The following is a 15,422-nucleotide window of genomic DNA, read 5'->3' on the forward strand; positions in this document are numbered from 1 at the left end:
CCACAACCAAGATCACCCAATGTGTGATGAAAACCAGCAACAAATAAACAAATACACGCATAAATAGAAACAGAACAACCCAGGCTGGAAGAAACATAAATCAGGATACAGAGAGAATTTGGAAGAAAACACTAATTAGTAGCTCCAGGTACATCCAAGAAGAATATTCTATCTATAAAACAAGGTGCTATGAAAAAAAATCCAAGAACAACAAAGAACTTTTGGAAATTAAAAATATGATCATTAAAATTAAAAATGCAACAGATTTAAGGGCCAGGTGTGGTGGTTCATGCCTGTAATCCCAGCGCTTTGGGAGGCCAAGGCAGAAGGATCACTTGAGGCTGGGTGTAATGGCTCACACCTTTAATCCCAGCATTTTGGGAGGCCGAGGCAGGCAGATCATCTGAGGTCAGGAGTTCGAGACCAGCCTGACTAACATGGTGAAACTCCATCTCTACTAAAAATGCAAAAAGTAGCCAGGTGTGGTGGTGCACACCTATAATCCCAGCTACTTGGGAGGCTGTGGTGGGAGGATCACTTGAGCCCAGGAGGTAGAAGTTGCAGTGAGCGGATATCATGCCACTCACTCCAGCCTGGGTGACAGAGATCCATCTCAGGAAAAAAAAAAAAAAAAAAAAGAAGGATCCCTTCAGGCCACAAGTTTGAGACCAGCTTGGACCACACAGCATCTCTTCATAAAATAAAAAAGTTATCCGGGCATGGTGGTACACACATCCCAGCTACTCAGGAGGCTAAGGCAGCTTTAATTGACTCACAGTTCCACATGGCTGAGGAGGCATCACAAATCATGGCAGAAGGGGAAGGAGAAGCAAAGTCACGTCTTGCATGGCAGCAGGCGAGAGAGAGCTTGTGTAGGGGAACTCCTATTTATAAAACCATCAGATCTCGTGAGACTTATTCACTGCCATGGGAACAGCACGGGAAAGAGACTCACCCTCATGATTCAATTCCCTCCCACCAGGTTCCTCCCACGACACATAGGAATTGTTACAATTCAAGGTGAGATTTGAGTGGGGACACAGAGCCAAACCATATCATGACATAGTGCTCTTTATTCCTCGCCATTGTTGTACCTCCTACAGTTTGTCAGGTCATTTTGTACACCTTCCTTCAGATCTTTTATACAGAAGTTAACCCATGAAGACCCCTGAGAACACCACAGCAATATATGCTTCTGTGGAGGAAAATGACTGATTCATCCTAATTGCTTCCTGCTTCCAAACACTTACTGTCTCCATAACAAACCCCCTTTACTCCTCCCCCAGGTTCTGTGTAGGCTGCCTGTTGTGCAGTACATTAGGATGCTGCTCAGTGGGAGGAGAAAGGACTGACCGTGACACAGGAATGAGCCAGGCCCAGATATGGCCAGAAACTTGGCTTTTGAGACAAAACAGAGAAGCCAGAAAGTAGATTATATCACAGACACAAAGAGCCAGAAACAAGGAGATGCAGGCAACTCGGACTGCAGACAAGAAGTCTCACGGGTGATTCCTGCTGGGGCAATGTGGGTGGTTCCCACAGCAAAGTGTACATTTGTTTGTGTTTGTTTGTTTGTTTGGATTTTTTTTTTGAGATGGAGTTTCCCTCTGTCGCCCAAGCTGGAGTGCAATAGTGTGATCTTGGCTCACTGCAACCTCCGCCTCCTGGGTTCAAGTGATTCTCCTGCCTCAGCCTCCCAAGTAGTTGGGATTATAGGCACCTTCCACCATGTCTGGCTAATTTTTGTATTTTTAGTAGAGATGGGGTTTCACCATGTTGGCCAGGCTGGTCTCGAACTCCTAACATCAGGTGATCTGACTGCCTCGGCCTCCAAAGTGCTGGGATTACAGGCATGAGCCACCGTGCCTGGCCTGCACATTTGTTATAGGGGCTCACACACTGTGGCTGTCATTTCCAAAATTCTACCTCTGTGTTACCACACAATTCTTGGGCAATGTTCCCTAGCTTCGGTGAATTATAAATGTCTCATTCACTAGTTAGAGCTAGAAAAATTATTTTGACTTAGTATTTTTTTCCTGTCTGTGTTAAGTGTCACAGAAATTCTCTAGTTTGCTTTCTTTTTGCATCCAGTGCAATTTTAAAACACTATCATTAAGGTTAGAGTTACATTTAGGGTTGGCGTAATAGAACAAATACTATTTCCCAGAGCATTAGTGCCCAGGTGTTTTACAAATATTACATTTTTTAAAAAGTTCCACAATTGAAAATAAGGTTGGGAAAACCTTAATTAGAGAGGTTTTCGGTGCTGGGCTATTGTAGTGCCTATAATATGCTAATATTCATTGTCCATCTCTAAGAAGAGAAATACAGCACACAGTTTCGCAAAACTTATTTGGCATTGAACCCTTTTTTTTTTTTTTAAAGAAATGAAAACTTTCTTCATTATTAAAGTTCCACAGAGCACAGTTTGGGAAACACTCAGTGCCCATTTTATAATTACTATTTGGTCTCGACACTTTTCTTGGCGGGCTTCCAAAAATTGTTTAAATTTGGCTATTTAGGACTGGATGGAGTGGCTCATGCCTGTAATCCCAGCACTTTGGGAGGCTAAGGTGGGTGGATCACCTGAGGTCAGGAGTTGGAGACCAGCCTGACCAACATTGTGAAACCCCGCGTCTACTAAAAATACAAAAAATTAGCCAGGCATGGTGGCACGCACCTGTAGTCCCAGCTACTTGGGAGGCTGAGGCAGGAAAATCGCTTGAATCTGGGAGGCGTAGGTTGCAATGAGCCAAGATCACGCCACTGCACTTCAGCCTGGGTGACAGAGCAAGACTCCGTCTCAAAAACAATAAAAATAAAAAATAAAACAGTTATTTAGAATCATGATTCTTAAATCTAGGTGATACCCTAGCGATCATCTACTCCAACCTTTTATTTCACAGATGAGGCAACGGAGGCCCAAAGAAGGGAAGCCATTTGATTCAAGTGTTCCAAGCTAATTGCTAACAGAACCAGCACTAACCCTCAAGTTTCCTGATTCCAAGTCAGTGTTGTTTCCACTACATCACATAGCCTCTCCATTTCTTCCTAACACCCCTGCTCTTTGTAGATTTCCCCTTCTGAAATAGTAATTGCATGATTAATGTGGGGTTACATACCCACAAGAAGGCTGAGCTTATCAGTTATAATCGGCGCGATGCATTGGTTTCGCCACAGGCACTTGCATCACCAGCTCCTAATCTCTAGACAGTGCTGGATTGATGGCATTTCTGGGTTTTAAACGCCAATTCCAGGAAGCAGTTAATTGCTTTACCCAAAAACATTTTTTCTCCCTGCATCACAACGATGATCTGTCTGGTCTGCACACTGTTACCATGTGACTTAGGTAAACAGCTTCCTTAATATGGGGAAAGCCTTCTGGCTTGGTCTTCCACCCCAGTCCTGGGGCCTTCAGGCACATATTTATGGTCTCAGTTTTGATATGCAAGTCTGAAGGTGTCAGCCATCACTTGACCAGCTTAGGTTTATGAGGCTACACCTCGAGTGGCATCCGTAGCCACCTAGACATTGACATCACACCTACAGTTTCGATGGATGGCACCAGGTGAACAGGGGACTTGGGGTCAGCGCCTACTTCCAGTGTCTGGTCTCACAGAAGACATAGAGGGCCAGAAAATGAATCAACCCCTTATAGCTCTCAAAAATATATCCTTGGGTAAAATAACCAGTGTAAATGTCAATGACCACTTACCAACATTTGCAAGTGGGTAGGTCATCTCTTTTCTTCCCTGCCCCCTGAATCACCCAGTGGCACACATTGATCAAAGTCCTTACTTATCACCAATTACCACAAGCCCGTTTCCCACCCCAATTCCCTTTTCTGTTCCTGAAAATGAAGATTAGTAGGAAAAGAAAATCCCAACAGTTTTTCTAGGCTTTTCAGGTTCCTGTTAGTTCATAAAGGACTACTTACTCTTTCTCAAGGAACTTCCAAGATTCCTCCTGGGGACTTTTCAATCCAAATCTGTGTCCTCAGAAACTCTTCAACTTTTTCTTTCCATTTATAGCTTAATCGTTTCTCTGCTGCCTGTTTTCTAAGTTCATAACTTTATTTTTCTTTCTTATGAAGGTAGACTACACATGCACTAACGTGCCCAAGTCTCATCTGCTGCCTTTTTTTTTTTAACTGAAAAAAGGGATCTATTACTGTTTGGTGGCAATGTGGCTCTGAGCCCTGCTTTCCTCACCTGTAAATGGGGATTATACTGTTTGCTTTGCAGGACTGTGGTGAAGTTGGAACAGATATTCATAAGCACCTAGCACAGTGGCTGGCACCTTGTAGGTGCTAAATAAATGCTCACCCAGGAGAGATGGGCTCTGCTCCTTACTCAGAAATCCCTCAGATTCCTAAAGACTGGTCTGCCTCTCTTTACCTTCCTTCTGATTTCCAAACCCCATTCCTTTCCCATACCTGGCTTGTTGGTTGGTTTGTTCAGCTGTTCCTGCAGAAATCTCTAAACCTGTCTTGCTCTGTTCTTGGAGCAAAACTTGTGAGTTTCCCTCCCTCTCAATGTTTTAGAGATGCTGCTGGGACAGACAGTGTCAAATAATGCAACTTTCCAACTCCAGGACCCAGGCAAGATTTATTGGCTTCTGGATGAGGGGCGGCACCAACATTATGTGTTCTCTCTTTATGGGAAGCAACGGGGTTTACCGCTTACTGGCTGGGAGATGTTGGGGAAATAACCTCTCTAAATCTTTGTTTCCTCATCTGTAAAATGGGTAAATAATAGAACCTGTGGGAGGATCTAGGTTCCATGCGGCCTGAAATTTTTTTGAAAGTACAAAATTATGAATATAAAATTAGGAACAAGGCTTTGGAAGGAGCTCACGCAAGTGAGGGACCTTGAAGCCCAGGCTTCAACCACTTCATGGCAGCCCTGTGTCTGATGGAACCAGTCAGGCTGTGGAGAAGTTTAAACAGAAAACTATACATAAAGTGCTTAGTGGCTGACATAATAGGTTATTGTAATGATAATAAGTATTGTCGATATTTATAATTGTTTTGATAAAAACTGTTGATATGTATAATTATTTTGATAAAACAATTATAAATTAATTCCATAAATAAAATTACAAAAAATAGACATGTATAATAATTATAAAACTTTTTTTTTTGAGACGGAATATCACTTTGTCGCCAGATTGGAGTGCAGTGGTGTGATCTTGGCTCACTGCAACCTCCACCTCCCGGGCTCAAGTGATTCTCCTGCCTCAGCCTCCAGAGTAGCTGGGACTACAGGCATGTACCATGCTTGGCTAATTTTTGTATTTTTAGTAGAGACAGGGTTTCACCATGTTGGCCAGGATGGTCTTGATCTCTTGACCTCGTGATCTGCCCGCCAACCTCCCAAAGTGCTGGGATTACAGGCATGAGCCACCGTGCCCGGCCTAAGCTTATTTTTATTTTTTTTTTTTTTTGAGACGGAGTCTCGCTCTGTCGCCCAGGCTGGAGTGCAGTGGCGGGATCTCGGCTCACTGCAAGCTCCGCCTCCCGGGTTCACGCCATTCTCCTGCCTCAGCCTCCCAAGTAGCTGGGACTACAGGCGCCCGCCACTACGCCCGGCTAATTTTTTGTATTTTTAGTAGAGACGGGGTTTCACCGTTTTAGCCGGGATGGTCTCGATCTCCTGACCTCGTGATCCGCCCGCCTCGGCCTCCCAAAGTGCTGGGATTACAGGCGTGAGCCACCGCGCCCGGCCTTTTTTTTTTTTTTTTTTAAGACAGGGTCTCACTCTGACACCCAGGCTGGAGTGCAGTGATGCAATCTTGGCTCACCGCAACCTCTGCCTCCCAGGTTCAAGCAATTTTCCTGCCTCAGCCTCCCGAGTAGCTGGGACTACAGGCTTGAGCCACTGCACCCAGCCAAAGCTTCCTTCTTGTCTCCTGTTTCTGCCCATAAGTCCATCAGAATGAAGGGAGTGGAGTGAGCCCCCATCTTCAGACTGTCCCTACTTGGGGCTCTCTAGTCCTTAAACATGGGAACCCCATTCTGATCCAGCAGGTTCTTGTCCTCTCACTCACAAGACACATAACTTGTGAGGAGACCCAGGGGACGCCTAGGAGGGGGGAATGGGGGAAGTAGGCCAGAGGAGGGGTGAGCACTAACAGCCGGGCTGAGGGGCCTGGAGACAGCCAGCCAATTGGAGGGCCCAGCAAATTCCCAGAGCTTCCCAGGGTGTGTACATGAGCAGGAGAGAGGAGTCAGGCCCAGGGAGGTCAAAGGGCATCACAGAAATAGCTGGGTTCTTGAAAAGGAAGGTGACTGTGGACATTTCAGTAAAGGCTGTAGGTTTCCTACCACATTTTTTCGTGCTGGGTGTGGTCAACCACAGGCCCATGTGTTGGCTGTGGCCAAAGAGGCCCTTATCCCTTCCAGTAAGAGTTTAGAATCTGGGAACAAGGGTTACAGGACTTCACATGACTGATATTCTTTTCAGTGAATTTCCATTTCCTAGTTCCTCTGTGAATCGTGTTCCTGGATCCCTGGAGTGGCTGCATCCACATGGTATGTGTGAAACCCTGGAGAGGAGATGTCTGCTTCTCAGGGAAAGTTTGGTAGTGGAGCTTGGAGAAGGAATGCACTTTGAGAAGGAATGCACTTTAAGAAGCAAAGCAAGTACAGCATCCACTCCAAGCTCCCCCCACTCCACCCCTGCAGCCACCAGCACAGGGTGTAATGGAGAAGAGTGCAGTGAGGGGGCAGGGGGACAGCTTCCTAAATCCAGAGGAGCACCAGACCGAATCTCCAGCCGCTCTTCCCAGGAAGCTGCCTGCCCTTGGGATAAAATATCTGAAGTAACTTAACCATCATATCTCTGTCAGGAGGATGGGGGGCTGGGGACAGAAGGGTTTGTTCATCAAAACTCTCTCCTCGCCACAGTCTGGAGGTTCTCTTGTTCCAGAAGAGGATGGTGTTGGAGGGAACCCCAGCCATGACTCACTCGGAGCTAATCCTTAGCAAATCTATCACCATGGAAACTGCCAATCATCCATGCTTTTCATAGCTTAACCGAACATCTGCCAGGAGACAGCAAGTCATACAAACCATTCGTCCTGCCTATTGTGTTTACAATTGGGGCCCTGAAAAACAGAGACAGAGACACGGAGGGCAGCTCTCCACAGCAGGGTGACGGCCCAACTCTGGCCACTAATCAGCTTCGTGACCTCTGTCGGGTCCTTCATAAGCTCCTCTGCACCCCTCCTCCCCAGCTGGTAAAATAAAGGATCAGATCAATGATTCTTCACCTCAGTTGGGCCAATGAGAGTGAGAGGGACAGGAAAGCAGGTCCCCTAAGAGGGGTGGGGCAGAGAGGCCTGTGTAGTTACAATCTATGCGCTATTATCATTTTACATTTGAAAGCTTTCAAAATAATACTCATAATTTAAATCACAGAAAATAAATCTTGACTCATCGTCTTAGGTAGCTATAGCTTTTTCAGCGGAAGGACAACGACACTCCATCTCTGAGCCAGAATGTCCAGTGTCTGTGAGGCTTTTAGTATCATTATCAAAAGTGAATATAGGCCAGGCATGGTGGCTCATGCCTCTAATCCCAGCACTTTTGGAGGTGGGAGGTCGAGGCGGGTGGATCACTTGAGGTCAAGAGTTCGAGACCACCCTGGACAACATGGCAAAACTCCATCTCTACTAAAAATACAAAAATTAGCCAGGCATAGTGGCATGCTGTTGTAATCCCAGCTACTCAGGAAGCTGAAGCACGAGAATCTCTTCAACCAGAGAGGCAGAGGTTGTAGTGAGCTGAGATCACACCACTGCACTCCAGCCTGGGTGACAGAGCGAGACCCTGTCTTAAAAAAAAGAAAAAGAAAAAGAAAAAGAAAAAGAAATACGGATTAAAAAGACAAAAGCTTGGGAGTTGGACTAGCTGATCTCACATGTGAGTCCAGCTCATACTCTGGGCTACTGGGTGGCACCTTCAAGCCTCAGGCTGCTGCTAACTCCTGCCTGGAGGGAGAAGCTGGAGGGGAGGCTCACCGCCCCCTTCCCCCACTCACACCAGGCATCCTCTCTCTTAGGAAAGCCAGCCGTGGGAGCAGAGTGGAGGGGCACATCAGGGCCACATTGCCAAGACAAACCCCTGGTGCACCTGAGGACGCCCGAGACATTCCCTGCACAGTGTGACCAGGCAAAGAGGCCTTCTGCCCTGCCTCTAGGGTAAATGCTAACCTGGTATCTTGGCCCAGGGGTCTTCACTCAGTGGGGACACTGCCAGGCTCCAGAGAACACTCAGATGGTTTTCAATTTGTGTGTGGAAGGAAAGAGGAAGAGAGGCTGGGAAACATCATCAGATGTTAACTTTGTTTAATTCCCTCTGTTTTTCCCTTTTCCTTTTCTGTCCATTCAGGAGGAAGCTGACCTATATTCTCTTGTCTTGTGGGAGACAAGAGGCAGAGAGGAAGCAGAATTTGCCTGTGCACTGTTTTGGCTTCTGTTTCTCAAAAGCCTAGGTCCTTAGAAGATTTTGGAGGGAAACAGAAAAGAAACAGCAGAATCGCTGGGGAAAACATGAGGCGACAAGGAGAAAAACTATCACACAGTTTGTGGGGCCACATAAAAATACAAATGCAGAATCAAAAATTATTAAGATTTTTTTTTTATTTTTTGAGACAGAGTCTTGCTCTGTCACCCAGGCTGGAGTGCAGTGGCACGATTTCAGCGCACTGCAATCTCTGCCTCCCAGGTTCAAGTGATTTTTCTGCCTCAGCCTCCCTGAGTAGCTGGGATTACAGGCATGCCCTACCACACCTGGCTAATTTTTGTATTTTTAGTAGAGATGGGGTTTCACCATGTTGGCCAGGCTGGTCTCAAACTCCCGGGCTCAAGTGATCTGCCCACGTCATCCTCCCAAAGTGCTGGGATTACAGGCGTGAGCCACCAGGCCGGGCCCAAGAATTTTAGTAACAGCAAAGCCTTAAAACAAGCATGAGTCCCTTCTCAGGGTGGGGACAGTGTAAATGCATAGGTCACACACCCAGAAAGCTGGCCCTGGACAGGAGTGTCCCCATATTTGACAGAAGATTGGTTCTGGAGTCGGGGGCAGGGAGAGAGAGAGGCTGTTCCCAGGTTCTGGGGAAATGAGGACCTGGAACCCCCACCCCGCCAACTCCCTGGCAGTACTGGTGGGGAGCCGGTAAGACCCCCAGAAGGAAAGGTTTGGGGAGTACATAGACCCTAAGCATAGGGTTCCCAATCTCAGATTTCCAGTCCTTGAACGTGGCTCAGAGGCAGCACAAACCTGAAAGGCCCTATGGACAGGACAATGGGAAGGCCTGGTTCTGTTTACAGATAAGGAATTGCAGAGCCCCCCAAACATGTCTGGGTACTGTTTAAAACCCTAAGCCCCTGGAGCTGGTGCAGAGCATGGCAGGAGCAGGTGGAGGCATGCTGAATTACTGCTCTTACTTTTAAGCCATCCTGGCAGAATGAAGGCTTAGAGTCGGAGACTGACTCTTTTTGTTTTATAAAAATGAAAGCGACGCACTATTTCTGGCAAATCTGGATTTGTAGACCAGGATTCGACCTGCCACTTCCAAGCCCTAGTTCCAGGCTCATTTCCATGGCCGAGCCTTAAGAAAAGTCAGGCAGGAAGCTGACACAGTGATACAAGTGATAGATGAAGCTGGGACCAGAGTGGTCAGGTGGTAGACATAAGGAGAAGTAGAGAGAATCTAGCAACTCTTAGGAGGTAAAATTGACAAGACTTAGAGGGCACTGGAAAGAAAGAGGGAGGTCTGATCACTGGCATAAGCATTTGGCTGGGTGGAGGTGCCATTTACTGACATCAGGAGTACAGGAGGAGGACAAGTTGAGGGGTAGGTGAGATGGGTTTGGTTCAAACTTGTTCGGTCCAAGATACCCAAGAGAAGATGTCACATGGACAACTGAATGTATGATGTGAAGCTTGGAAGAGAAGTCTGGGCTGGAAGTGTAAATTTTGGAGTCACCAGTTTTGAGGGTGGTTATTCAACAATAAGCATGGATGAGACTCCAAGGAAAATAGTTGAGAAAGAGATGTGAGGGCCTAGGAATAGCTTGAAGATCCCCAACATTGGACAGGCAGGTGGAGGGGATGCACCTATAAAGGCAAGTCAGAGAGTAGGAGGGAGCTGAGAAGCCTGCATCGTGGAAGGCAAGAGAAATGCAAGGGGAAGTGGGTTGTTGCTGAGAGTTAAATAAAGTGAGAGACTAAAAATGCACGCTGCATTTAGTAACAAGGAAGTCACTGGTGAAAGAGCCATGTCATTGCAGAGACAGGCTTGCAATTCCCAAAGGAGAGACTGGGAGAGTTGAGTAGGGGATACAAGAATGGACATGGGGAGCCATGTTGTTTGGCTTTGAAGAGGAGAGGGAAAGGCTATTGCTATAAGGAAAAGTGGGATTGAGGAAAATCAATTAAAGATGATTAAAGTTATTGTCTTTTTCATTTTAACAGCTTTATTGAGGTATAACTAACATTCTATAAGATGTACATGTTTAAAGTGTAACAACTTGAAAAGCTTTGCTATATGAATATACCCATAAAACCATCACTATAATCAGGAATACACACACACACACACACGCACACACACACACACAATTTTTTTTTTGATACAGGGTCTCACTCTGTCACTCAGGCTGGAGTATCATGGCGTGACCAAAGCTCACTGTAGCCTTGACCTCCCAGGATCAAGCAGTCCTCCTGTCACCCACCTCCCACCCCTAAGTAGCTGAGAATCACTACAAGTGATTCTCCTGCCTCAGCCTCCCGAGTTGCTGGGACTACAGGTGCATGCCACCACGCCCAGCTAATTTTTGTATTTTTAGTAGAGATGGGGTTTCACCATGTTGGCCAGGCTGGTCTCAAACTCCTGACCTCAGGTGATCCGGCTGCCTCAGCCTCCCAAAGTTCTGAGATTGTAGGCATGAGCCACTGCGCCCGGCCAAAGCTAACTTTTTAATCATGTTTTGTAGAGACCACAGGGTCTCACTATGTTGCCCAGGCTGGTCTCAAACTCCTGAGCTTGAGGGATCCTCCTGTCTTGGCCTCCCAAAGTGTTAGGATTATAGGCACAAGCCACCACGCCAGGCCAGGAATATATTTTTCATCCCCCCAAAGTTTCCTTCTGCACTTTAGTAATCCCTCCTTCGTGCTCCTCTCACTCCCATTCCCAGGCATCTGTCACTATAGATTGCATTTTCTAGAACTGCATATAAATGGAAATTTATACAATCATATTTATTTGCTTTTTTTTTGGTCTGACTTATTTTACTCAGCATAATTATTTTGAGATTCACCTATATTGTTGTGTGTATCGATAGTTATTTTTCTTTGTTTAGAGACACAGTCTCGCTCTGTCGCCCAGGCTGGAGTGCAGTGGCGCCATCTCAGCTCACTGCAACCTCTGCCTCCCAGGTTCAAGTGATTCTCCTGCCTCAGCCTCCTAAGTAGCTGGAACTACAGGCATGCACCACCATGCCAGGCTAATTTTTTTTTATATATATTTTTAGTAGAGATGGGGTTTCACCATGTTGTCCAGGCTGTTCTTGAACTCCTGACCTGAGGTGATCCACCTGCCTTGGCCTCCCAAAGTGCTAGGATTACAGGTATGAGCCACCACGCCTGACCAGTTATTTATTTTTATTATTGAGTGGTTTTCTATTGTGTGGCTACATCATAGTTTATTTATGCACTCACCTGTTGATGAACATTCAAGCTATTTCCAGTTTGGGACTATTAAAATTTAAGCTGCTTGGAAGTTCATGTACAAATCTTCATATGAACACAGGCTTTTGATCCTCTGCAGTAGATAACTAGGCATGGAATAGCTGGATGTAATTTTTAAGAAACTGTCAAACTTTTTTCCAAAGTCACCGCACCATTTTACATTCCCTTCAGCAGTGCATGAGGGTTCTGGTGTCTCCACATCCTTGCTAACACTTGTATGGACAATCTTCTCAATCTTAGACACTCTAGTAGCTTCTCCTTCTTTTTCTGTCCCTATCCCATTTGGGGTGGGGACAACAAGTAAGGAAATGGCCATATGTAGGAGGGCAGAGGGAAAGGAGAGAGAGACAAGGAGACAAGACAGATATCCTCTGGCCATCAATACTCTCTTGATCAAGAGTGAAATGCTTTTCTCTCTTCATTAAGAGTCTGTTCCCTGGGGACAAGCCCAGTCACTAGCAAATGTTATTTTTTATGGAGCATCTGGTCAACATGTTAGCTTATTGCCTTCCAGGCCAGGGACCCAAGCATGGGGCAGGAGCCCTACAGGGACCTTGGCTGTGGGAGGCTCCTCTACAGTCACTGCAGAGCAGGAACTTGGGGAAGGGAGGGTAAGGAGATTCATTCCTCACCCCCGCGATACTGGTTTGGCTCACACCTGATACAGCAAGAAAACAAAAGACAATAGTGTTTCTCTGCCCTCTGGGAGAAGATGTGCTGGTACGGGTAGGGGGAAGGGAAGTTTCGATTCCAGGTATGCACTTATTCCACCTGTGGAAAGAGCGGCTTGTCCTGCTGAGGAATCCGTCCTGTTCAGCCCTATGAGATATGTATCCTTTCTATGAACAAAAGGTGTCAATGTATAAGGAGTGAGGAGGATTAAATCATATCGAAGGCCTTCAGTAAACTCTGTTAAAATAATAGATTTTTATGTTTGAGGCCAGGGGTTCAAGACCAGCCTGGGCAACATAGTGAGACCCTGTCTCTACAAAATACATACATAAACAGATAAAATAACAAAATTTTAGTCAAAGCTAAGCCCATATCTAAAGTTGGATATACATACCAAGAGTACCTGCAGGCCAATGATGATGCTGAATTTTGGAACCAAGAATGTATACCCCTAATTTGAGAGTAAAAAAGAACCCAGATTACAATACCTGTAGCCGCTGGGAAGAAAACCCCAAAGACAGTGAAAAAAGATTCCCCCGGGCTGTAATCGGGCAGCGTGTTGTTCTGTAGCAGTTCGGGTGAATATCCAATGAAACCATGTTCTGAAATAAAGCAATGGAGAGCAACGTAAGCCCAGTGAGAAGACACAGGACACATTTCCCTAGATTATGGTACTATTTCATATATCGCTTTAAATATTGGAAAGGTAGGGGCATGTATGTGACACACAGCGACAGAGCGGGTCTGCAGAACCATCTACCTTCCCACTTCTAGGGTTGACTTTTGTGTGCTGATCCCATAGACACAGATGGATGACATAACATGAAAGGAAGCAGTGGTTACTTCTGGGAAGGGGAGCATTTTCATCTTTTGCTTCATAGACTTTAATATAGCTGAAATATCTTTCAATGAGCATGTATTTATATGTTTGTTTTCCATTTAAAAAATTAATCGATATTTGCAAGTTACTTCCGTACTCGAAAACCTTCCACGGGTCCCTAATAGCTACAGAATCAAGTCCAAACTCCTATCAAAGCCTCCACAACCTGGCAACAGCCACCGCTCCCTACTCATCCCTTGCTTTTTCTCCTCCCCAGCAGCCACACCCTGAGGAAGGCCACCCACACCCACCCCCCTGCCTTCGTTAGGCAGTCTCCTGGCCTTCCAGACTCTTCTCCCACATCTCTAAGCATCGTAGTGGGCCAACTCTTCAAGCTCAGCCCAAATGGTGCTCCTTTGGGCTTTATAAGCACTCCCTAATCAGAATCTATTCCTCCCCCCTCACTGCTGTTGACGCTAGGTCTGGCCACAGTAGGACTTTCCCCAACTAAACTCCTTGAGGCATGAAATCCAGGTCTGCAGATCTCTATCCCCCAGAGCCAAGCACTGCACTGGTGCACAGTAGGTAGGTTGCAAATATGGGTCACGCTGAAAAGAACCTTTCTCTTAGATCTCTCAGCCTATGGACACATCTCGCTTCCACACTTTCAATTTGACTTGTTCACAGCCTACTTCATAGCAGGAACATCTCAGATCTCATTTCCTCAAAGCATTTTAAACATTTTTGTACATCGACTTTAACAAACTTTTTTCAAGTGGTTTCAACCCTGCAGGCACGTTGCTTCTTTGTCAAAGGAGGTCACTTTGAACAGCATCTGTGAACATGCTAGTGGGCTGTGGAATTTTAAGACACAAGTCAAGTGTTGTTGGTTTCAGGAACACCCAGGATATTCAGCCTCTGCTTCTGAATCTTGTCTCTGAGAAGGAGTTGGTTTGTTCCTATTAACTGTCGTCCAAGAGAAGCCAATCCCTGCTCCTTTTCCCTCAACCCCTGTAGTCCCGTAGGATGGGTATTCAGCTGTCACTCCATAGCCAACCCTAGGGTTTCAGGGACAGAATTTCCCCAAGCCTCATCCTCCACCCGCTCGGAGCTTAATTACAGCCCAAGCTTCCATCCACAAAAGAAGGCTCCTGCCACTCTGATGAGTCCAATGAGGTCGCCCGCACTTCACACAGCTTCCAAGATTCATAACTTCATAAGAAAAATATTTTTTTTAAAAAATAATGAAACGAAATCTCAGGGAAGCACAAGGGACCCTTGGGAGTCCAGTCAGGACTTAAATCATTGTCAATTGCTTTATTTTGCCTGAACACAGAATTTGTTCTGGCATATTCAATCCCAAGTGCTGTACAACTTTTCTGAATGGTTTGGCGTTTTTGTAGCTGGCCCTCCCCTCATTAACAAAAAAGCAATAATAGCTAAGTTAACTTTAGCTTATCCGCTGGCTGACCTCACTGATGAGTCTTAAGGAGGAGAAAACCAGCCCAGCCTGCCTTGGAACCGAGCTCAGCCAAGCTGGACTAATGTGCAGGTCGGAAAGCACATCTGAGCGGAGGGCTGTGTGTGCCCGGCAGGCCCGCCTCGCAGGACAGAAAACACTTCATCAGGCATATTCATCTCCAAGGGCCCAAGGGCGGCCCTGACACAGGGGAATATTTGGTCACTGGGCCTGAAGGGCTTTGCCCTGGCCAGCCTGAAGGTTCAGAGGGATTTCAGGCCCAATAGATGAGTCACTGGGAAGCCTTTTCTCTGCCCATCCCTTCAGCAAGACCCACAGGCTGAGATAATGAGTCACTTGGCTCCCTCGTGGGCCTGCCTCAGTTGCCATCTCTTGCAGGGCCAATGAGAAATGCAGCCCTGCCACATTCACAAAGTGCACACTCACGCTGACACACGCTCACGCTCACACGCTCACGCTCACACTCACGCTCACACTCACACGCTCACACTCACACTACTGCTGGCCCAGCCTGCTCTGGGCTGAAGCCAAGCTCAGTTCTGAATCTTGCTCTAGGAAATAGTCTTAACTTTGCAAAGAACGCTATGGACAAAAATATGTGTCAATGCTTTGTTTACAATAATGTAAAATCGGGGGAGGGGTCGGGTGCAGTGGCTCACGCCTGTAATCCCAGCACTTTGGGAGGCCGAGGCAGG

At 46.3% G+C, this 15,422-nt stretch overlaps 1 protein-coding gene across 2 annotated transcripts in view, besides 1 other annotated feature; it reads right to left on the reverse strand.

Annotated features, from left to right (window-relative positions):
• SLC12A8 (solute carrier family 12 member 8) overlaps positions 1-15,422 on the reverse strand; it is a 130,105-nt gene that overhangs the window by 40,110 nt on the left and 74,573 nt on the right. For both annotated transcript variants that reach the window (NM_024628.6, NM_001195483.2), the window contains one exon: positions 12,916-13,029. In NM_024628.6, the coding sequence (NP_078904.4) occupies positions 12,916-13,029 (114 nt within the window). The remainder of the gene's footprint in view (positions 1-12,915; positions 13,030-15,422) is intronic.
• Positions 14,958-15,067: an enhancer, noted in NCBI's record as "active region_20418". NCBI's record gives its function as "activates an Ori minimal core promoter by ATAC-STARR-seq in GM12878 lymphoblastoid cells {active_cell/tissue: GM12878}" and the evidence as "EXISTENCE:reporter gene assay evidence [ECO:0000049][PMID:35858748]".

This window comes from Homo sapiens, chromosome 3, assembly GCF_000001405.40.
Source record: "Homo sapiens chromosome 3, GRCh38.p14 Primary Assembly".
Classification (NCBI taxonomy): Eukaryota; Metazoa; Chordata; class Mammalia; order Primates; family Hominidae; genus Homo; species Homo sapiens.